At 42.9% G+C, this 23,076-nt stretch overlaps 1 protein-coding gene and 1 pseudogene across 5 annotated transcripts in view, besides 10 other annotated features; one reads left to right on the top strand and one right to left on the bottom strand.

The window, feature by feature from the left end:
* LOC389473 (chromosome 5 open reading frame 13 pseudogene) lies at positions 3,527–5,452 on the bottom strand (annotated as a pseudogene).
* Positions 11,470–11,519: an enhancer, noted in NCBI's record as "active region_25729". NCBI's record gives its function as "activates an Ori minimal core promoter by ATAC-STARR-seq in GM12878 lymphoblastoid cells {active_cell/tissue: GM12878}" and the evidence as "EXISTENCE:reporter gene assay evidence [ECO:0000049][PMID:35858748]".
* Positions 12,000–12,179: a silencer, noted in NCBI's record as "silent region_18012". NCBI's record gives its function as "represses an Ori minimal core promoter by ATAC-STARR-seq in GM12878 lymphoblastoid cells {active_cell/tissue: GM12878}" and the evidence as "EXISTENCE:reporter gene assay evidence [ECO:0000049][PMID:35858748]".
* Positions 12,350–12,619: an enhancer, noted in NCBI's record as "active region_25728". NCBI's record gives its function as "activates an Ori minimal core promoter by ATAC-STARR-seq in GM12878 lymphoblastoid cells {active_cell/tissue: GM12878}" and the evidence as "EXISTENCE:reporter gene assay evidence [ECO:0000049][PMID:35858748]".
* Positions 14,184–14,293: an enhancer, noted in NCBI's record as "active region_25727". NCBI's record gives its function as "activates an Ori minimal core promoter by ATAC-STARR-seq in GM12878 lymphoblastoid cells {active_cell/tissue: GM12878}" and the evidence as "EXISTENCE:reporter gene assay evidence [ECO:0000049][PMID:35858748]".
* Positions 14,684–15,023: a silencer, noted in NCBI's record as "silent region_18011". NCBI's record gives its function as "represses an Ori minimal core promoter by ATAC-STARR-seq in GM12878 lymphoblastoid cells {active_cell/tissue: GM12878}" and the evidence as "EXISTENCE:reporter gene assay evidence [ECO:0000049][PMID:35858748]".
* Positions 15,602–23,076, top strand: part of IGF2BP3 (insulin like growth factor 2 mRNA binding protein 3) — a 160,283-nt gene continuing 152,808 nt past the window's right edge. For 2 of the 5 annotated variants that reach the window (NM_006547.3, XM_011515089.3), the window contains exons 1-2: positions 15,602–16,157; positions 17,551–17,611. In NM_006547.3, the coding sequence (NP_006538.2) occupies positions 15,983–16,157; positions 17,551–17,611 (236 nt within the window). In that variant the 5' untranslated portion in view covers positions 15,602–15,982. Of the gene's footprint in view, positions 16,158–16,445; positions 16,858–17,550; positions 17,612–23,076 lie in introns of those variants that run through there. The other 3 variants (XM_047419782.1, XM_047419784.1, XM_011515092.3) reach the window with 3 other exon arrangements.
* Positions 16,074–16,343: a silencer, noted in NCBI's record as "silent region_18010". NCBI's record gives its function as "represses an Ori minimal core promoter by ATAC-STARR-seq in GM12878 lymphoblastoid cells {active_cell/tissue: GM12878}" and the evidence as "EXISTENCE:reporter gene assay evidence [ECO:0000049][PMID:35858748]".
* Positions 16,074–16,963: a biological region, named in NCBI's record as "H3K27ac hESC enhancer GRCh37_chr7:23508953-23509537".
* Positions 16,175–16,759: an enhancer, noted in NCBI's record as "H3K27ac hESC enhancer chr7:23508953-23509537 (GRCh37/hg19 assembly coordinates)". NCBI's record gives its function as "activates a minimal SCP1, AML or CMV promoter by ChIP-STARR-seq in primed H9 embryonic stem cells {active_cell/tissue: H9 hESC(primed)}" and the evidence as "EXISTENCE:reporter gene assay evidence [ECO:0000049][PMID:30033119]".
* Positions 16,384–16,963: a silencer, noted in NCBI's record as "silent region_18009". NCBI's record gives its function as "represses an Ori minimal core promoter by ATAC-STARR-seq in GM12878 lymphoblastoid cells {active_cell/tissue: GM12878}" and the evidence as "EXISTENCE:reporter gene assay evidence [ECO:0000049][PMID:35858748]".
* Positions 18,194–18,243: an enhancer, noted in NCBI's record as "active region_25726". NCBI's record gives its function as "activates an Ori minimal core promoter by ATAC-STARR-seq in GM12878 lymphoblastoid cells {active_cell/tissue: GM12878}" and the evidence as "EXISTENCE:reporter gene assay evidence [ECO:0000049][PMID:35858748]".

The following is a 23,076-nucleotide window of genomic DNA, read 5'->3' as shown; positions in this document are numbered from 1 at the left end:
TCCACAGTTTAGGAAGGAAGACAAACCGATTGACAGGTAAATGAAGTTATTGAAAAGCAGCTTCTAATTCAAAGGCACAGCTAAGGACTGTGACCGTCTTACTTTTCAGTTCATGTATCTAGTTAGGGGTGAGAGCTTGGGCTTGCAATTCCCTCAGTGGTTCTTCAACTCCTTAGGAGATAGGAGTTGGGGGAGTCCCAAGTAATAGTTTGTGGGGAAAGCAGAAAAAAAATAAATAATAAGAAAAGAAAAAACTATCCCCTGTAGAGGAATCCCTTATTAATGCCAGCCATTAACACGAGCCGACATCCTGGACAAATATAAGAAATTTGTCTCAACAATCCAAGTAAAACAATACATTTTCTTTCGTTTTTTTTTTTTTTTTGAAACGGAGTCTTGCTCTTGTCGTCCAGGCTGGAGTGCAGTGGCACCATCTCAGCTCACTGCAATCCCTGCCTCCTGGGTTCAAGTGATTCTCCTGCCTCAGCCTCCTGGGTAGCTGGGATTACAGGCACCTGCCACGACGCCTGGCTAATTTTTGTACTGTTAGTAGAGACGGGGTTTCGCCAGTTGTTGCCAGGCTGGTCTTGAACTCCTGACCTCAGGTGATCCGCCCGCCTTAGCCTCCCAAAGTGCTGGGATTACAGGCGTGAGCCACCGTGCCCGGCCAACAATACGTTTTCATAAAAGATTTCCTTCTGCTAGAATCAGACGCTTGTGCTTCATGTGAACTTAGGTAAGAAATATTAAATAGTAATACACAGTCCCTCCACCCCCTGCTATTTATCTTTTTTTCCCCTTTTTAAAAATACATTTTTGAAATTTAAGGATGCCTGCTGCCTGTGAAGTCCCAGCCCCAGGAAGTCCTGATGACATGTGCCCTCTTTCCTTTTTTTTTTTTTCTTTTTGAGACAGGTTCTTGCTCTGTCCCCTAGGCTGGAGCACAGTGGCTCAATCTCAGCTCACTGCAGCCTCAAACTCCTGGGCTCACACGATCCTCCTACCTCAGCCTCCGGAGTAGCTGGGACTACAGATGCGCAGCACCATGCCCAGCTAATTTTTGTACTTTGGTAGAGATGGGGTTTCACCATGCTGGCCAGGCTGGTCTCCAACTCCTGAGCTCAAGTGATCCTCCTGTCTTGGCCTCTCAAAATGCTGGGACTACAGGAATGAGGCACCACGCCCAGCCTCCGATATTTCACTGAAGCAAAAATAAAATTCAACCCTGTCAATTGGTAATTTGGAGTAAACCAGAGCATAACATTTTTCAAGTTTGATATAAGGAAGAATTTACCTTACCACTAGGAGTGTGTGAGGTGACTGTTAAAGCAGATTTCTTGGCGAGGCACGGAGGCTCAGGACTGTAATTCCAGCACTTTGGGAGGCCAAGGCAGGAGGACTACCCGAGGCCAGGAGTTTGAGACCAGCCTGGGCAACATAGTGACATAGTGAGATCTTGTCTAAGAAAAAAAAAAAAAAAAGAAAGCAAGCAGATTCCTTGTCATCTAGCGATTCTGATATAGCTGGGCCTTGAATCAAGCTTTTGAGAGACAGGAGAGAGATCACAGGCTAAATAAATCATGGAATTTCTTCCCTAGCAGCATTTTAGTGAACTGATTTTACCTGTTTGCGACAGTTTAAATGAGATCCTGACTGAAGTTACTGAGGTGAAGCAGATGACTTTTTTCAAGGTCTCCTCCACCATAAAGACTTTCAACCTTATGCTTTCCATAACATGCAGAACCCCTGATAAGCATAAATGTAGGCGTTTTATTTAAAAAGGTAATGATTTTGTGTCTGGGCAAACCTCACCTTGGGTCTGTTTTCTTGTCACCAAAAATAGGAAAAACATACTATTCTTACTTCAACCTTGCGTTGTTCTATGATGTCCTTCGGTGATAAACACATCTTGGTCCTGCCACTGAACTAGCTGTGTGTCTGCCTGCATTGACCTTCCTTGGCCTCAATGGTAAAATGGGTATCTAGTAGATCCCTAATAATCTGTCTAGTCTTCAAATTATTATTATTATTATTATTATTATTATTATTTTGAGGCAGAATCTCACTCTGTCACCCAGGCTGGAGTGCAGTGGCCCGATCTCAGCTCACTGCAAGCTCCGCCTCCCGGGTTCACGCCATTCTCCTGCCTCAGCCTCCGGAGTAGCTGTGACCACAGGCGCCCACCACTATGCCCGGCTAATTTTTTATATTTTTAGTAGAGACGGGGTTTCACCTGTGTTAGCCAGGATGCTCTCGATTTCCTGACCTCGCAATCCGCCTGCCTCAGCCTCCCAAAGTGTTGGGATTACCGGTGTGAGCCACCGCGCCCTGCGCCTTCAAATTATAGAAACATCTTTATGAAACAAGTTCAATTGAAAGTCATGTAAAAGAGAAGGTACAATCCCCTAGTTATTAAACAGAAAACAAACAAACACCAAACTTCCTTATCCAAAGTATCTAAGAATTTGGAATATATATAAATAGGGCCAGGTGTGGTGACTCACACCTGTAATCCCAGCACTTTGGGAGGCTGAGGCAAGAGGATCGTTTGAGCCTAGGAGTTCAAGACCAGCCTGAGCAATATAATTATAGACACTGTATTAAAAAAAAAAAGTTAGCTGGGCATGGTGGTGCGTGCCTTGTAGTCCCAGCTACTCAGGAGGCTGAGGTGGGAGGATTGATTAAGTCAAGTAGTTCAAGGCTGCAGTGAGCTGTGTTCAAGTCACTGCATCCCAGCATGGGCTATGGAGGAAGGCTCTGTCTCAGAAACAAACAAAACGGGTAAATATTGTATCTTCCTACTGAGTCTTCTAGTACTAGGCTGTAACACACATTGCCTCAATCTCTCTTTTTATTAAATAAAAAGTGCTAAAAGCATACACTTCCAAAGATAAAATCTTAACTACCAAAATTATATTTTAGTGAAATTGTAACCTAATATTTACTATAATGGATGTACTATTTACTATAGTAGATGTAACTGGAAGATACCTTCCAGTTATGCGTTCTTTTCCAGTTACAAGTGCTTTAAACACTTTGACTTCCCTTTATGTCAGAGTCTGATTTCTTGACTACATGCACTCTAGACTGGCTTTTGAAAACAAGACTATATTTGCATATTTATATCGGTATGTCCATAGCAGGATTCAAAATCCAGAATCTATTACTTCATTTTACATTGCAGAATCACTTTGATAATGCCGAAGTGGCAATTTTCTTCAAAGGTATTGTTTTCAAAATGAATTTGTTTGAATACCCAACCTCTAATCAGCTACATACATATACAATCAAAATCTCCAATGTCCTTACATTACCTGTAAGATTTTTTTTAAAAAAAAATCAGCAAAACTTGTTTTATGAGCTTTTTGCAATGGTGTGATCTCGGCTCACTGCAACCTCCGCTTCCCAGGTTCAAGCAATTCTCCTGCCTCAGCCTCCTAAGTAGCTGGGACTACAGGTGCGTGCCACCACGCCCAGCTAATTTTTGTATTTTCAGTGGAGACAGAGTTCTTTTTTTTTTTTCTTTTTACCTAACAGCTTGCATATTTATTGAACAAATACTACTAAAATAGCTAAAATACATTGGGTACTTGTCATGAGTGCATCAGTAAAGATCACACTGTTACAAAAGCCTGCATTTTCAGCAGTACACAACTGCAACTCTACATAAATACCACGGATGCAGAATACTGTTTTCTTGCTCTATTTACACAGCTGATATACCTATTCTAACGAAGGAGGGAGAGGAGGAATGCACAAGAAACTCAGGCCAATGGGGGAGCAAGAAAACGAAGAAGTGCAGTGCATGCGTCATCAGTGTTTAACAGTCAGAAGCATAACAGTTCAGAACAAGGGCTGTCCTATCAAAAGAAGAGCTGAAAGACAGTTATATGAAAATTAAGGTGGGCGTTCAGACTGGCTAACACAACAACATTCCATGAGTAGATGGTATTTTATTTTTGTTTATCCATTTCGTTGGGAGCAAGGACAAAAATGTAAACCTATACCTTGCTTATCAAAATTGCCAAAAAAAGAATGCTCTGCCTTTTAAAAAAGTATTGTGATTTTGTAAAGACATTGTTTTCCAATGTAATATTTGGAAAAGGTGTCATTTCCATATTCCTACTCAGATGCCAGTGTTTTGGGTTTTTTTCAGGGGGAATTTATTTAAAAAGGTTTTGCTCTTTTTTTCCACAAATATCCTTTCAAACAGAAAGAACCCAAAGAGACACCTCAAAATGCCTGTAAAATTATTGCTTTTCTTTCTGTAAGTCAGGCAGGCGAGGCTATAGAAAGGAAGAGATTTGGTAAGTAAATTACAGTTTTGTGATTGCTCCCGCTACCGTGACTGCATGTCCGTGAGTGCCAGCCAATGAGACAATCGTCTCTCACACTTCGGTAGCATTCGCTCAACCTACAACACTGAGGAAGAAAGCCACACTGAAGACACAAGGAAAACAAGTCAATCCAGTCTAGAGAAAAACATTCAGCGAAACAGAGTACCAACACCTTCTTAGAACATGGAAATAAAAAATAACCCCATCAGAGCTACCTCGCCAAGGAGCATGATGAAAGTCCAAAATAGCACCATTCATCAGTGTCTCAGGTCCTGTGGCAGCATCTCGGTCACTTACCACAAGGAAACGAGTTTCAAACTATGTCTATACATCAAGAGTACATGGATAAAATATAGAGATATACAGACAATTGATAAACATAAACTACTAGGTTTGTTACATCTAAATGAAGAAAAAGGGGGGGACTCTCAGCCTCTGCAAGAAGCGGTCGGGAGCTGTGTGAGTGAAAAGGCAGGAGTGCACTGGTTGTGTGAACGCGGTGGGAATTTGAGTTGTGGAAGACATTGTTGTAGCGAACCAGGCCTGAAGGCCCACCTGTAAGGGTTGTAAACGTGGATTCACAGTGTGAAATTCTGAGCATTTTCACTTGGGTCAGAATGATTAAAAACTGGTTTGATGATACCTATTTGTCCACTGTAAATTCTCTAAAGCAAGGCTCAGAGTCCCATAGTTTCCTCTTATACTTAATGATTTACACAGAAAAAAATCCCATATATGGTACCATGACCTCATGAATACCCATACACCGTATGTAATACAAATGGAGGTGTTACGATTAAAAAAAGTGGAGGTAACTGATTCTTGGGGAGCGGAGTTCACTGCTGCCCAGTAGAGTCAGGGAGGCAGCGTTTGTCTCATCGTTCTTCTTGTAGTTCACTTCCTTTGGGACAGGAAGTCTTCCCTTAGGAAGCCTTCCCTCCATGTCCTTGTTTGGAAATGGTTCTTGACTGACCCAGAGAAAGAGTTCTGGGTAATAAACCATTTTGAGAATCTTAGTCTTGGCTTCTATTCTCCCTCTCTTCAGTCCAGGGAGACCAACAGACAAAAGCCCCGCTCCCTGTTCACTCTCCTCTCTACACCTGAAACACAAATGTGGTTGAAAAAGGGCAACATGCTAGAAAAACAGCTTGGGGGGGAGGGCGAGACGGGGTTTCAACATGTTGGCCAGGCTGGTCTCGAACTCCTGACCTCAGGCGATCTGACTGCCTCGGCCTCCCACAGTGCTGGGATTACAGGCGTGAGCCACTGCGCCTGGCTGTCAGTTAGCTTTTAATAGGTTATATTCCAAGCTTTCATGGAAAAGTTAGAAAAGGACCATGTTTTAATCCACAGATATCTGATTTTTATAAAACAACTTTAACAGTCTTCAGTTTAACTTTCTTTTTTTCTTTTTTGGAGATGGAGTCTCGCTCTGTTGCCCAGGCTGGAGTGCAGTGGCACCAACATGGCTCACTGCAACTTCTGCTTCCCAGGTTCAAGCAATTCTCCTGCCTCAGCCTCCCAAGTAGCTGGGACTACAGGTGCGTGCCACCACACCCAGCTGATTTTTATATTTTTAGTAGAGACGGGGTTTCACCATATTGGCCAGGCTGGTCTCGATCTCCTGACCTTGTGATCCGCCTGCCTCAGCCTCCCAAAGTGCTTGGATTACAGGCATGAGTCACTGCGCCCGGCTCAGTTTAACTTTCAAGTTTTTGAATTTACTCAAAAGAAACATGGGAAAAAACCTTTAAAAACAAAATAATTGTATTTTATATTATATAGTTACATTAAACAAAACCACAAATAGATTTTTATCATAATTAGTAATAACTGCATATTAACAATACTTTCAAGTTTTTACTTTGTTACAGGTTTTAAAGACTATAAGCTTGATCACTGGATTTGGTTGTAAGAAGATACTCTAAATTTTAGCTTAATCCAGAGTTCCATAAATCTGATGTTTTTATTTTTTTTGCTTATATATCCTCTCTGTGCTTCACTGTAATATATTTATTTCTATTAATTGCCACATCCAGAGAGTAACTCAGCTTATTACTATGTTAGCAGAACATTGCCATAGGTAAAGAAAGAAGATAAATGCATCACTTATTTTAACAAAGATAAACTTTTTTTTGTTTTTGTTTTGGTTTGTTTAAAAAGCAATGGGCATTCTTCATCCATTTAGAGGCTCAAAGTGTTAAAATGTTTGGTTATCCTAATACAATATGACTTCCCCTCACTTTGCAATGAAATAATTTAAGGATATTTAATAAACAAGGAAATAATTATTTTAAAGAATAACAGGAAGGGGCTATCATTTGACTGAAATAATATTCTTCATTTATAGCAACTTAAAACTTTGTTGGTAGTCATTCCTGAAGCAACATTACAGTTTAATCTCAGCTCTCCTAACCCCCAATAAAGACAGTAAATAACAGGACCCACACTTCACTTAAATCTGAGTTTTCTCTCCTTATTTAAGTTTCAAAAACCATTGTTGTTTTCACGACAAGAACAGACCAGTATCTATCTTTAGCTCTTTTTTTATAGAGACATTTTTTCAAATAACACTGCTTATTTTGATTAATGTATCTATTATGGATAATGTACACAAATAGAAGTGGTAGAACAATCCAACAGAAAGGATTTGTGATAACTTCATATTTTCGAGATAAATTTAACTTCAAAATATGTGACCCGTATTATTTCTACCAATTTTTAAACTGCTTACGTTCATGTTTTAATAATGTTGATGGATGTTTTATATGTATAATACTAACTACATATATTTTAAATAGAAAACGAGTTATAGAAAGACATAAAATGGAAAACACATTTATATGATGTAAGTTCTAATGGTGATATACTAGTAGCATCGTAATTTCAGTTCAATCTATACTGTTTTGTTAGTCTTATCTCCCCAGCTTTAAAGACATCATACTGAAGTATTCTGATGGTTAAGAAAACACTTTAAAAGTAGTGCTTGCCTTGCTTGTTTTAACCTGCAACCTCAGAATTTGAACACAAGTTCTATCTTGCTTTTCTCCTTCACTAATCTCTCTAAAGGGCTTCTCAGCAGAAATATGTGCATATATTCATATGTCCAAGTGCACACACTGAGTTCATTCCATATCCGACAAAACTGCCCTCAACTGGAAGATCTGTTGTTGTTGAGGGAACAGAGTAATGTTACCTTTCGCCCTATTGTCTATTTCATTGAATTAAAACATCTACTCGACTTTTTTTTTGCTTAATTAATATTTAAAACAAAATTCAATTTAATCTTTTTAAAAAAGTCACTATATTGACGAGATTAAAATAAAACTTGAATATATCACTATGGTTGCAGAAATAAGCACTTACAGTGTACTACACTACAACTTTTGATGCTTCAGTTTATTTTCTATTTGGCTTTTTACAGATATTTATTTAAATGAAAAGCAAAGATATTATTTGAATCTTGGTAGCAAAGAAATACAAAAGCAAAGAAATTACCATCAGATATATGGTAACAGAGTCAAGGGACAAAATTCTAGGCAATTTTGAACAAACGAAAACAAAACATGGTAATGTCATTCTGTACTTAATTGTCTAATAACAAAATGTTCACCAGATGACAGAAACAGTATCTATTTCTGTTATAACAAAAACTGATTTTTTTGGCTTTTATGAATTGTTACTTCGTTGGTATCTTTTTTATGAATTAGATTTCTAATAGCTGGATTAGATTTAGGCTACTTATAAAAAAGGGACCATGCAGTTATTTCAGCTTAATGGATGATTAAAACACAAAATATTTCATATTTATTTATATTAAGTTGTACACAATTTAAAAAGTCTTTATTCAAATCTTATAAGTAAGATTTAGTTACTTTTAAATTATTCTTCAAGTCTTGGAAAGTGCTAGGAAAAAGATTTTAAGTTACAAATAATATATGAGTAGTTTACCCTACAAATAAAAAAGTATTAAAAAACAGAAAAACTGCTTCAATGAATGACACAAGACCCCTCCCCCACCCACCAAAACAAAATCAATCAAGAATTGGAAATTATCAATCAGATCCAATTATTGGTATTAAATTAAACCTCAGTTCAAACAAAATTTTGCCTTTAAGAAGGCACTAGTATTGTCAACTTAGAAATAATTGATCATGAAATTTAAGTCAGTTGAGAAAAAGCAAGAAAAACTCTCTCTCTCTCTGTGTATTCTTAATCCCCAATGTGATAGTGCCAACAATCACATTGGGGATTAAGAATATACACAGATTAAGAATATACATGTGTTTATATTTAAACAATCCTCTATATATATAAAAAAAGAAGTCAATGTTTCAGTAGAAGTATGTTAGGCATGAATTTCAGGACAAATTTTTTATAGTGTAGATTGTGAGAAAGATGATTAAGTTTTGTTTTTCTCTACTTTATCTTATGCGCTCAGATTCTTTATGAACTTCAGCTGAGATTTTTGAACTAGAACCAAAAAACAAAAACCCCTTACTTAGCCTGCTGTTTCCCTCTTTAAAGCTAGGATCATCATGCTAGAGAGCAGCTTAGGACCAAAATGTAAACTAAAATAAAGAAGGAATGAATTTTAATCAGTCCAAATGGAAATGGTTATGATCTATTATCATCTTGCAAGTAAGGAATTGTAAAATTGATTCTGCCTTAGTACATCTAAAAATTAACTTTACATTTATAGATAGCATGAGGCATTCATCAATTTACCTTAAAGACTGCCTAGAAAGAGTTAATGTGTATGTAAATATATGTCATGAGATCTGCTGTTTTATTAAAGAATCTTTAATTCCTGAGATTTTTGGAATTAGTTTCTGGAATAGAAATGGTCAAGAAAACAAAGGGTCCAAATATGAACACAGCAACCTAGCATGTGTCTTTTAAATGTAGGTGTTAGAGAGTGCTGAAAACTAGCCATAACCTCAGCATGTGCTTTGTTTTCAGATTATTTTAGTGGGGAGAGTGGGTTCTTACTGTTCTTTCCAGTAGGATTTCATGCATGGATTACTTTCCCATTTTACACCATTAGTTAATACATTCTCTCTCTACCCTCTTCCTTCCACACTGAGCAAGGAAACCTGCAGGATAAATGAGTTGCAACCAAGAAACAAGATTAAATACCCTAATCTTTCCAGTTTCCCCAGACCCCTCCCCCTATTACCCCTATTAAACAAATGCCTACCCTCTGTTTTCTATGGCTGGTCTGCAAATACATATGTACACACTAATCACCAAAGAGTCTTTATTGAAGGTCTCATCCTTCCCACCCCCTCTCCAGAAGAATGAGTATTTTAAAGTTTTCACCTAAGTGAAGTAGTATTAATACAGGATATAATTCCAATAAAAGTACTCATGCTTATCTACTACTTTAACAACTATGCATGTTTACCAGATAAAAATTCCAATTCCTGACTTAGTAGTTGAAAATTTAAAAAATGAGTTTCTCTCAAACAGAACAGTTTTTTGTTTGTTTTTTTAAAATATTGATTGTATAAATCTTTGATTTTGAGAAAACATTAAAAAATATACCAGGTTTTAGAGTCTTGGCTTGTCTAAATGATTAATTTTGACTTTTTTTTTACAATCACAATTTTCTCTAATAAATTCCTCAATAGTTTTCTACTGTATCATTTCCAAAATATAAAAATAATTGAATATATAAATTGCAACCTAGAATCATTTCACAAATAATCATATCTTCACAATTTAAATTTCTTAGGTGATAAAGGATTATTTAAATTATTAACTCTATAATCTTTAGCATACTACAAATTCAGTCCTTAAGTTTTAATTAATTTACTCAACTCAAACCATTTCTAAGTTATTCTAATGTTTCTGATGAATAATTTTACATGACAAGTTCAAAAATACTATCAACCACATTAGTGAAATGTAGTTGAAATATACAAATGTAAATAAAATATGTTTAATGATTACTTCTACTTTAAAGTAGTTTTTCTTTACTAACCAATTCAGTTGTTAAAATTTGTTTTAAAATTTTGGTACATGGCAATTTATGTTACTTTAGTTTTTAGAGACTAACACAGAACTAATAATTTTTTCAAAAGCACTCAGAAGAAGATGTAACATCACAAGATGTAACATCACTAAGAGTAAACAACACAGAGAAAATCTTTGAACTCCCTGATTTAAACCAATTCTCTCAAAGTTTTAAATATTTACTGAATTATCATTTTACCGTTTTTAACCAAACAGAGTATTTTGTCAAGACAAAAAATGAACAATTATCTGCAAACAAATTAACTTATATTGTTAACTGGTACATTTCCTTTTCTCCAGATAATGAAAGGTTGGTAAAGTCTGTTATAAAATTAGATATACCAAACAAATTTATACTTCCTTCCTTTTTTGTCACGGCCAGAGTTCTGATCTGTATTTTTGATGAAACCAACAGCAATTTATTTATATAATTACAAACTCACCAAAGACACCAGTACCTAGAATACACCACTGTGGCTGTTTGCCTTCTCAGTTAATCAAATTAAATATTATTATTTCGTTTGTTTTGTGCTTTTCCAAGTCAAATTCATATTTATTTTTTCTCACCGTCTCCACCAAACGTCAGTGAAATTAGAACATTTCAGCTACAGAAATCGTTAATCCTTGAAGGTCGGTCTCAGCTTCATTGGTCTTAGGGCAGCTTCAACGAAAACGTGGTCTCAGCATAGTTGATTTTACCCGGAATTTTTCGTTTGCTTTTTTTGGAGGGGTTGTTTGATTTTGCTTAAAACAACCCTGTGGACCACAAAGGGGTTTAGGAAGGGAGCGGGCAGGGCGAGTCGATTTCTCTAGAAGCCCAGAAAAGTTCTGGTACCTGAGAACATGGTTGGTTGTAGTTGTTTTAAGTAAAAAAGGACGCATCAACTCTAAGATGTTGGAAATGGGCAGGGAAACGAAGATGTGACTCCAGCTGCTGAGCATGGCGCAAATCCAGAACCTCCGGGCGCTGGACGCTGGGGGAAGGGAAGGGACCGTGCGGGCACCATGCGGTCAGCCAAGGGGCGGGCTCCACCCACGGACGCAGAACTGCTTTCCACCCTTCCTCAGCGTTACCTCCCTCTTTCTTCCTTGGGGGTTGGGGCTGGGGGCGAGCTGTTAAAGGGCAGGAAAAACGAGAGCGAGCAGAGGGGAACACAGTCCCACCCCTCAACCTCAACAAAACCAACGAGGGAGCAAAGGGTTATTTTCGCGCCACAAAAGATGGAAATCCAGGGGCGGCTCCGGGGCCAATGAATGAAAACCAGCAAACCGCTCTGGCGGAGGCGGCCGACGGCGATAGGTTCCCCCCGTCAGCCAATCGGAAGCGAGGAGAGGCCCCCGCCCGCAGCAGGGGCGGTGTCTCTCTCGACGCCGGTTGCTCAACTTGGACTCGGCAAGCCGGCCCCGGGGAGCGCGGGAGCCCCGCCTTGGAGCCGCTTTTGCGCGCCAGTCTCGCGGCCCGCCCCGCAGACCCGCAGGGTTCGGCGAGGGATTCTCCCCCGTGGGTACCAAGCATCCCTGGGCCCTATGGAACCCCTCGTGCACACACGCAACTGAGACCAGAGGTGCGGGAGGGTCGCCAAACACACGCTGCCCGGTGCGTCCCCGCGCTGGCCGGCGGACTCAGGTGGGGTGGCGCGGCGACGGCCCGGCCACACGCTCCGCGCATACGGACGCAGCCCCAGGAGGAGCCAGAAGCCCGCGGTCCCGCGGCAGGGCCCCGGGGAAGGGCGGTCCAGTGGTCCAGGCCCTCCGAGGCGAGCCGGCGGCCGACGAAAGACCCTCCCCACTGTGAGCCGTGAGGATCCCGCCCTCTTTCTCGGGGCAGAGCCAGAGGAAAAAGGAAACAACCCCATCTTCTCTCCCGGGGCACCATTTTTATTTATTTTAAACAATAAAATATAGGCAGGCAGCTTCCAAGGAGGGCAGATCCAGGTTATCACTTATTAACGCCTCTAGTTTAAACAGATCAGAGTCCAGGAGGGCCGTTCAAAAGCGCAAGAGCCTGTTAAAGCACCTCCGAGGAGGCCCAGGCGACACGCCGGGCATTGTGTGCCCACCCGCGTGAGGGGTTTCGGCTTGAGACTCCAGGCTGGTCCCAAGCCGGGCGTGAGGAGGGGTGGCAGCCCCCCATCTGCCCACTCAGCCTTTGCCCCTGACGTGTGGGTACAGCAACGGTAACTGGCCTTCTAAACATAGCTATTCTTTAATATTACACTGACCCACAAGAAACATTTGTACAGTCCTCAGTTCAGCAGATAAGGAGGAGATGCAGCTGTCCAAAGAGTAAACAGACTGCAATTGGAAAGACTCAGCCGCATCCCAGAGCACATAAAATGGTGGGAGTTCTTTCTTCGTGGAGTTCACATTAATTAGGAGCTACAACTGCTTCAGGAAGAAGCTGAAGTAGCCTATAACCAGTTGATTTGTGTGAGAGTCATTAAAAAAAAAAAACTGGAACTTAAATTGATTTTATATTCATTCTTGAAAATTCACCAAAGGTATCTTTGTACTTGAAGTGCTAGTGCAAGACAACTACCTAAGATCTTTTGACTCAACCCTTAAATGCTTGGAAGACTGGAAGTGGAGTGGACTGTATCCACCTCTCTCTTTGATGTCTGAGCTTGTATTACTCATGTATGTTTTTAAGGTCCTAGATGGACTATCCAGTTTGTTACAATAATACACAGATTAGGTTAACAGGAGTCCCAGGAACATATTTCATCAAAACACACACTTGTTTTAAATTCCAGCTGTTAGATTTGTTTGATAGTGCCAGACAAGCATGGACTAGTATTTATGGAAAATAAACAATTTATTCCATGCTTTAGAAGTAGATATTTCCTTAGGTCTCAGTTTTAATAAGAGCAAATACAGTCAACCCAGAAGCCATAGTTGAATTGATTTTGGAAGCAAGCTGAACACACACAATTTGTTTTTATGAAAAATTACTAAAAGTGTTAAATGATCAACAGGTTGTAAAATTTACAGTGGTATTGAGAAGTGCAAATATTACCAAATGAATGAATGTAGAACATTTCTCCAAATGGCTTTTGTTCTACAACAGGTACATTTAAAATAAATCCATAATTTTTGATATTTACATTTTGCATACCACAGAGGCCAAAAGAAAGAATACATTTCTTCTTTAGAACTAAAGTTATTTTTAAAAAAAGAAAAAAATGCTTTTAAAAAGTTCAACCTAACCATAAACTTAAAGAAAAATTTTACCAAAACGTTCTTTCAAGGCTGAGCTCTTAATTCAGTTACAAATACTGTAACAGAAAAACACGTCTGTCCCCCTATTTTATAAAGTAACAACATTTTATTAAATTAAACGTGAATGAAATTATTGTGAAAGTGTGTTTACGTTTAAAATGTTGGATTCGCTTGGCAGGAAAGAAAAACCTGTAAGAAAGAACAGTTGCATTTAAAATGGATGATCTGACACCTTCCGGTTCCTTAACACAAAATTACAAAGTAAGTTCCCTTTAAAAGACAAAATGTAAATACTCTTTATATCATGCAACAATTCCCATGTTTAAGTCTACCATTCATCTTTTAAATGAAAAATACACATTTTAAAATGCTAACAACGGTTTTGACAGAGAAGCAAGGCTGTATCAATTACCGAAGATGTTTCCAGTGTAAATCATAATATTTCCTCTATTCAGGATACCTTTTTTCTACCAGTAAGAGTACCAAGTCATTAAAGATTCTTGTCTATATTTTCATGTTATATAGAATTTCTTTCACTTAAAAAATTAGAATTTTCTATCTTTTCAATAGAATACCTGTTAAAAATATACCTGTTAAAAACACACAAGTATCTGGTGCAAATGAAACCTTTGAGTGGAGTACACAATCTTTAAACGACAGTTGGAGATTCCACTAGAACCCCAGCACTGCCTTCGTTTCCGTATTGCTCGTCTCCAGTTCACATTTTGTTGGCCCACAAGGCTCCACCGGGCCCAAATCCTCCCCCGACAACCACCATTGTACTCATTACATATAGAGAAAATTATGTATGGCTCTCATGGCCAAATCCAGGCAGAAAAGAGGCAGAAAGAGACTCGAACAATTTTTCAAATGCGAATACCACCTAGGGGTAATGCACGACGGTCTTCCAGTTTTAAGTCTCAAGTTCTCCAACTAAAATTACTTAAATAAAAGTACCAGCCTACTCCACTCCTCCCCCTTTAAAAACTACAGGAAGAGAGGGTTTCCCTTTACCGACTTTTCCCACTTTGACTTCTCTCCTCCAGCGGCCCAGGCCCCCGACGACCCCAGCCCCTAGCCAGAAACCTCCGCCCCTGCACTCCCCTCCCCCACCAGTGGCCAAGCCCGCCCCCGGCCTCATTTATCCTGGAGCCTTTTCTGAATCGCGCAACCAATGGCAAACGCGAAGCCGAGAGCCACCGCGAGCGCAGGCGGAGGCGGAGGAGGTGTCGCCCAGACACCCGCCCAGGACGCTGCGGGATCCCATCCCCCACCACTCCGGGGCCGGGCCGCCCCCACTCGCGCGGTGCCCAGGGCCCGAGAAGGGCGCACGGGGTGGGGCGCGTCGCCCGCCTGTCTTGCCCCCACCCCCTGCCCCCCTCACCCACTCCCCCACCCCTCCTCGCAGCATTTCCGTCCATGCCAGCCTTAGAAACGTGCCTGCGGCTTTGCTGGGGTTACACTTCTAATGCCATTAAAGCCACCAGGCGAGTTCGGGATTGTGACTCTGGTTTTGTTGTTAATAACCTATTTTGAAAAATCGAATGATTAAAACTACGGTAACTAGCGCTGAGGAACTGCCTGTTAGTACCTCTGCCCATTTCCTCATTAAAAAAAAAAAAATCAATATTCCAGCCCTCCCTCCCAGGATCCGCCCAGACCAGATAACCCTTTACAAACTCGAGTTGTGACCGTCAGCGCCCCGCTTGGTGCCGGCTGCGGTTCCTTTAGCATTTTCCTTCTTCCTCCTCCCCCTTCTCAGAGTCCCTCTCCCAATCTCGTTTCCCCTCCCCCTCTTCCTCTCGCTCGCTTTTTTCTCCGAAACCCACTCTAATTGAGGCTCTGGGATTCCTCACGTGAGACGTTGATTTGTAGTTTGAACACGTGGCTCATTCAAAAAGCCGGACACTCGGAGCGGATTTTTTCCGCCTCCTGCGCCTTCCTCCCTCCTCCTCCTCCTCCTCTCCCCTCCCTCCTGCCAGTCACCCTTCTGGGTTTTTTATGGGGAGGCGGCGCCTGCCTCACGTAGTGTGATATTTTCACAGTCCGCTGGCCGAAGCCAAAGGGGTTGGGAAGGAAGAGACAAAAAGTAGTTTTTTCCCCTCCTCCTCCTCCTTTCTCTTGCTAATCCCGCCTCCTCCTAAGACTTAGGAAGACTGGTGGATGCGTTTGGGTTGTAGCTAGGCTTTTTCTTTTCTTTCTCTTTTAAAACACATCTAGACAAGGAAAAAACAAGCCTCGGATCTGATTTTTCACTCCTCGTTCTTGTGCTTGGTTCTTACTGTGTTTGTGTATTTTAAAGGCGAGAAGACGAGGGGAACAAAACCAGCTGGATCCATCCATCACCGTGGGTGGTTTTAATTTTTCGTTTTTTCTCGTTATTTTTTTTTAAACAACCACTCTTCACAATGAACAAACTGTATATCGGAAACCTCAGCGAGAACGCCGCCCCCTCGGACCTAGAAAGTATCTTCAAGGACGCCAAGATCCCGGTGTCGGGACCCTTCCTGGTGAAGACTGGCTACGCGTTCGTGGACTGCCCGGACGAGAGCTGGGCCCTCAAGGCCATCGAGGCGCTTTCAGGTGGGCCCGGGCCTGGCCCCACCCGGGCTCTCGCCCCAGCCCTGCACCGCCCGCCCAGGCCCACCGGGTGGCTCCGCGGGCCCCAGGCCCGGCGCGCTGGGGGAGCGGGGGTGAGGCCTGAGCGCCCACACCCACGCGCGTGGGGGCCGGGGCTCTCCTCAGCTCCGGCTCCCACTCCGGCCCGCGGCTCTGCTTCCCCGGCCGGGGTTTGCTGGGTGAGGGCGAACGCGCTGTCAAGAAAGCCCCGGCGCTGGCTAAGGGGGGCGCGGGGCTGGGGGAGGCGCGCTCCCCCGGCGCCCCGCCCGGGCCCAGGCGCGTGCTCCAGGCCCCGGCACGCTGGGCCTCGGGGGCCGAGCTAGAATGCCCGCCTGTGCCTCGTTCCTTCCTGCTTTCCTCGGTCGTTATTTACGGCGCTGTCTGTGCTGCGCCCCGAAACCCCCGGCCGTGGAGAACGGAAAGTGGCCTCGACCGTGCTGCCGAGTGAGACCGCGAGGCTGGTGCCTCGCACAGGCGGCCCCGCGCTTCCTCCCCACCCTGTGGGAGGAGAGAGTGTGTGCCCGGTTTCCCCGTTCCACCTCCCCTGGTCCGACGAGCGATAGGGGCAGGTGGGCGGGGGCGGCTGGTCGCCTGGAAGGGAGTCGCCGCCACGCACCGGCCGCCCGCCGCTCTCCGGGCCCTGGCGCGGGGCTGCGGCCTCCGGGTATGGCTCCGCCAGGGCGAGGGACGGTGCCGGGCGGAGCAGGACGCCCAGGGGGAAGGCTGCGTTGGGGTCCCCATGGGAGCCCCGTGCCTTTCGGCTTCCCTTTTAATCAATTCAGACGTGGTGCGGGCGCCTCGCCGTCCTTCGCGCCTGGTTCAGCCTGTGCCGAGCTGCGCCTCTGCCAGTTCTCCCGTTCGTGGTCTCCCCTGCCGTCCCCGACCCTTTCTCGCCACTCCCTGTCTTCCTCAAGCCCACCGCTGAGTGTTCCCGGCGGGTCTGGGCTGAAGCAGAGGGCAGGGCCAGGGCGCCCCCTCCTGAAGAAAGCCAGGGGAGCCCCCTGCCCCGAGTCTGCCCTGTGGAGCGTGTCCAGGGCGGTGAGAGGGTGGGCCGCGTCCCTCTTGCGGGCCTCGTGGTGTTGGTGGCCCCCAGGGGTGGGTGGGGGAGGCTTGGAGACTGGACTGATACCCAAGTAGTGGGCCCGCCAGCGGACCCTGCTCCCCAACCATCTGCGAGTTAAATGCCCACGCCGCTCGAGGGGGTCGGCTTCTCCCTCCGCCTGGAGCCGCGTCCGGGCCTCGGGGGCCCTTCGAGGGCCTCAGGAGGCCATTTGTGTCGCCGCTTGGGCTGTGCGGGTCTTCGGGCAGGGAGAGCCGCTGAACTCGGCCGACCGTCTCACTTCTTGTGTGTCCGCAGGTAAAATAGAACTGCACGGGAAACCCATAGAAGTTGAGCACTCGGTCCCAAAAAGGCAAAGGTGAGCTGCTGCTTCTGTTTGCCCCGATTCTGTTCTCACTCCGTTATTGGGTGGAGAGACTCAGCTGAGAACTTCTTGTCCTCTGGTGCTTACCCCCTGCCGTGTGGCGTGGTGTTCCGGTCTTTAATCCTTGCTTTTAAGTTTATGGCGGGGGTGTGTGTGTTGATGATGCTGGGCAGGAATTGAAAGCTTTTCTGTGGCCTCTGCCGCGGGATTATGGTTATTGGTTACAAAATCTCTCGAAAGCTCACAGCTGAATGTCCTCGGTCCGAGCGGGTCAAATTGCTCCTACGGGAAATGGGTCCCAACAAGCAGTTTGGGGGGTTTGCAGGGCTTGGGAAGCAGCGGATGATTCCCCCACCCCTCCAGGAGCAGGAGAGGCGAAAGCAGCTGCGGACACGCGGGGGTCCCTCCTTTCCTTCTCTGTCCGGGGTTGGGAGGCCGTGGGCGCGGCCGAGTGGAGAGGAATTTGCCTCTGCCCTGTGAGCTCGCCAGGGGTATTGGAACGCGTGCGTAAACGCTGGGGCCTCTCTGGCCCAGAAGTGCCTTTGAGTCACTCCGAAGTTCTACAGGTTCCTGCAGTCAGCACCTTTGTCTCCCCGCTTTCCACCCCACTCCTCCTGGGTACATTTTTGCTTACAACCACCAAAAGATGAAGACAGGAAGATTCGTACTACTTAAGGACGGGGATTTCTCGTCTCCGAGATCATGTGTGTAGTATGTCGCTTTACAGAATGTTTATAGACTGTTTTAGCCTCTGAAGCATTTTGGAGACATGGCTCTTTCCCTTTTTCTTTTTCTTATGAAGCCTTATGGAGCAGTGGAGACTCCTTTCCTTTCGCTAGAGCAGGCCGGATTCCGGCTCTATTTTTTTGTTTTGTTTTGTTTTTTAAAACCTTCAGCCAACTCACACCATAGATTCCGGCTCTAACTGCAATTGGAAAGGCACTGCTCCCTCCCAGTCGCACCGGGGTGGGCCTCTAAGCCTTTCTGGATTTTGCATGGTGGGGTTAGGGTTTCTGCCTGCCCCTCTCCCATCCCCCCAACTCCCAACCTGAGCCAAATAATAAGCTGAAAGTTAATTTAAATCAGGGCTGCGTGTATCTGGTTAGATATTGGTGAGAGAGTGTGTGCTGGAGAGCAGGAGGGTTTGCTATGCATTTCTCTGGTGCTGTGCAGAAATAGATGGCTACAAAACATCTCATCTGTATGCCTGTGTAGATTTCAGCTCTCTTCCCAGGCAAAGCATTTTCACAAATCTTGTTTTTAAGGATGAGTTGGTTTGGATTTTTCTTGTTCTCATACTTAAATTTCATTAAGATAATTGAAAGGGATTTGAGTGACCTGATAGATTTAGTTCTAGTTGGGAATTTTGGTAGGGGTCACATGATTTTCATATAAATTGAGCTTGGTTTAACAAGAATTGAAAATCGAGGGAGAAGTCATATTCCCGTAAAAAGAAGCTTAAAGCCATAGCCTGAATTGGTTAGGAAAAAAACATAAGCCCATTTTACAAATTCTAATTGTTATTATGTTTGGTCAGTATGTCTTAATTTTGTTAAAATGTTGAATAAATAAGCAAATGGTTGTGCCTCAAGGACTGGCATTTTAACATTTGAGAGAGTTTCTAAATTTAAAAATGAAATGTTTTGGATTTTTACAATTCATCGAGCTACATGTAAATACAGATTACTGTGCCTTCCCCTGCTGCTTTTCTTTTGCTAACCGATGGGAATTTCTCCCCAGGTGTAGGGGATTAATTTAAAAACATTACCTGTTAACAACTGCCTGTTTTATTCTTAAAGGCTTTTGCTTAGTCCAAAAGCATATATATACTTAGTTACTTGTTACTTTATAATAAACAGGAGTTCCTCTTTAGGAAAGCACATAAGGTAAGATGTCACCAGTGACAGCAAGTATTTATCAATGTATCTTCAGTTTATTAACAATGTAGATTTAAATTTTCAAGTTCATTTTTCAAGTTCATTTTTAACAATGTAAATTGAATTTTCAAGTTCATTAAAATGCTCAGGATTTTAAATGATACAGTACTATCTTACTAACAAAGTAAACAGGGATGAGAACATTGGAGGTTGTTTTTACTGATAGAACAATCATGTTCCTTGCTTGTGTTGAAATGTCTTAAAAGTAGAGCCTTTGGCTGGGCGCAGTGGCTCACGCCTGTAATCCCAGCACTTTGGGAGGCCAAGGTGGGTGGATCGCCTGAGGTCAGGAGTTCGAGACCAGCCTGGTCAACATGGTGAAACCCCATCTCTACTAAAAATACAAAAATTAGCTGGGCATGGTAGCAGGTGCCTGTAATCCCACCCAGCTACTCGGGAGGCTGAGGCAGGAGAATTGCTTGAACTGGGGAGCTGGAGGTTGCAGTGAGCCATCGTGCCACTTCACTCCAGCCTGAACAAGAGCGTGAAACTCTACCTCAAAAAAAAAAAAAAACCTTTTTTCTCTGCCTCTGGAAATCTATATTACAGTTATTTTAACTGACCCTTGGAGCTGTGATGCAGTTTCCTATATCTGGACTGTTCCACCATTTTCATAGGCTCTGGAAGCGGGCAGAGAAGGCATCAGGGTGACCACATGCCCAGCACCTAAGGGAAGGTCAAGAGGTTGTACTGACTGATGGGGGTTGCTCTGATAGTTGAATGCCACAAACCAATCCTTGCCAAGCCTGCTGGACTTTAGGGTGGAGTTCTTTCTGCTTAGCAGTCATTTCATTCCATCCCATCATCATGTGGGCATCTGAGGCAGGCACACCCACATGTGCAGCAGTGACCTTTGTACTTGATATACAAGGCATGTCAGGAACCTGGTGCTGGAGAATGCACGCTGAGATGGATGAATGGGCTTGCACTGACTAAACAGGGGAGCAGGCCCAGGAGGTGATTGGAGGCTTGGCAGGCTGGCCTGGCTTTGACTTCCAGTGGAGCTTGGGGGGGGACCCTTTCAGGAAGTAGTAAGGTTGAATTTGGTTCAGACCAAGCTTAGCTCCCAATTACTGAGGTCTCAAGGGAATGTGGAAGGAATGTGGCTTTTCTGCATTCAGATACCCCTCAGTTGGGGAAGATTATAGCAGTTACTTTACAGACATTGAAGTCTCCTGCAGCTGGACTAAAGAGAAGATTGCATTGGATATCTGTGATAGTGTTGCACTCTCTATTCTAAATATAAAAGATACAGAACATGAAGACTTTGACTCCGAAGTATAGGCTCAACTTTTTTCCCTCCACCTTGGAAGTAAGGGTAGGTGTGGAAAATAGTTGGTACTTGGAAATGTTGTAGCTGTGTTTGGTTGGAAGAGCTGCTGGTATCCTGTGGGGCCTTGTTTGTGCCCCTATGTGATTATGTAAATAGCACTGATGTCCTTTTTTGTTATGTTGTGGGCTGTTGGGCATGGGAGAGGGAAGAGGAAAATTGCTGACACTGGGGAACTGAGAGGATGGTGGTTTTAGTTCAATTTCCATTACTTTTTAAAATTACGAAAATAATTTTTCATATGTTCAGTTTTTTAGAACCTAACCTTTTTGTTGTTGTTGCTGCCTCCTATGTGATGAAGAACCTAAGCATATTTTTATTAAACTTCCTCATGATTTAGCGGTTGGCATTGTTTAGGATTATGTGTAGGAAAAATACATTTGAAGAAAGGAGAAAAAAATAATAGGATATTATAGTTAATATTTTTCTAGGCAGGATCCTTTACCTTTTTCTTCCTTTCAGGGTAGGATTTTTTCTATTTTTATTTTTATTTTTATTTTTATTTTTATTTATTTATTTTTTTTTAAGATGGAGTCTCTCTCTGTTGCCCAGGCTGGAGTGCAGTGGCACGATCTCGGCTCACTGCAACCTCTGCCTCCCAGGTTCAAGCGATCCTTCTGCCTCAGCCCTCCTAGTAGCTGGGATTACAGGCATGCGCCACCATGCCTGGCTAATTTAGAGTAAGATCTTTTAAAACAGACTGTGGTGCCTAAGCTCAAACGTTGTTTTTTGTTTGTTTCCTTAAAAAAGAAAACAGTGATAGTTGCCCAACACTATGAATGTATTTAACACCATTGAATTGTACTCTTAAAAGTGATTAAGATGGTAAATTTTATGTGTATTTACCACAGTAAAAGTGGGGGAAAATGCAAAAAAGAAAGTGAAGAACTTATTTCCATATTAGTCTTGTGTTTAAAATGTAAATTGGATAGAACTTATAAAAGTCATCGGGGTTTTAAATGTAACTTACTTTAAGTGGCTATTTAAAAGCTAGTGTTGCATTTTAATAGGTGTTAAGGATAGAATAGGCTAGTGTCATGACCAGCAACGTGCCCATTAGCCAGGGCACATGATCCTTCAATGCTGCCTCCGACTTCAAAGTCTTAGGACAGCAAAAGCTGTTTTTAATGTAGAACGTTTAAACACAGGTACGAATAGCAGTGGTACTCCTTCCTTATCAGTGTATGGCTTAGGTGAATCTTGCGATTCGGGAAAGTTTCTCACACATGCAGAGACTTGAGGTTCTGAATGTTAGGAAACTTTCTTGGCTGGTTAAATAATTATAAACTAGGTTATCTTTCAAGTGCTCAGTTTAAGATCAGCGTGGGATTGCCTAAGTGGTTGTAGCTAAAAAGATTTTTTTTCCTAATTTCATATTTTCTCAAAACAAATTCAGAGATCTTGAAAGATTTCTTACTTTGGTTTTAATAAGAGTTTAAAAAAATTAGATGCATGTTGATAAGTGGCTTCTACTGTATGGCTGTCCACAGTAACTCTGAGGAAGATGTTACGGAAACATGACATGTGCCAGGAGCCAGTGGAAATCGAGAATCTTGGCTTCTGTTTCTGGCTTTCCTTTTGATTTGTGTGATCAGTTACATTCTCTTTTCAGGCCAGATGCCATTATGATAAACTACAAGGGGTATATAGTATTTTGTTCTGAGGTTTTGCCATTGTGCTCAAAATAAATAGGTTATCAGCTAAGGCTTAAAAATATCTTTTGGAATTACAGAGATCTGGGGTTTTTCCTGTAAGGAGCTTGACTTAAATTTTTTTTCTGTAGCTCTGTTGTTTTTGCCTGTGTACCTCTTTCATGCAGTTAGCAAGGGGGAAATGATCTTTGCCACGCTTTGAAACTATTATGAGCGACACAAGTTTAGTTAATGTGTGGTTATAGGATTGGGATTTTGTATTAAAGTGAAGCTGTCAAACTACCTTCATGTATTTGAAGTGACTCCATTATAATTGTTTTTAGCAGCAGCATCCAGGCAGCAACTTTTCTAGCAATAACTAATTTTTGGAAGGTGTGAGTTATCCATTCAGTAACTCTGGTGGTTGGTTTGGTCTGGGAGGAAGGAGAGGCGGAAAGACGAGATGGTTAGCTGTGCTATTCTTAGCTGAGTTTCCTTTATCAACTGTTGCCTCTGATTCAAGCTTCCAGAGTCATAAGACAGGAGGTGGCAGTGTGGTAG

Source organism: Homo sapiens, chromosome 7, assembly GCF_000001405.40.
Source record: "Homo sapiens chromosome 7, GRCh38.p14 Primary Assembly".
NCBI lineage: Eukaryota > Metazoa > Chordata > Mammalia > Primates > Hominidae > Homo > Homo sapiens.
The sequence above is the reverse complement of the archived record's forward strand: the minus strand, read 5'-3'. Positions and strand labels throughout refer to the sequence as shown.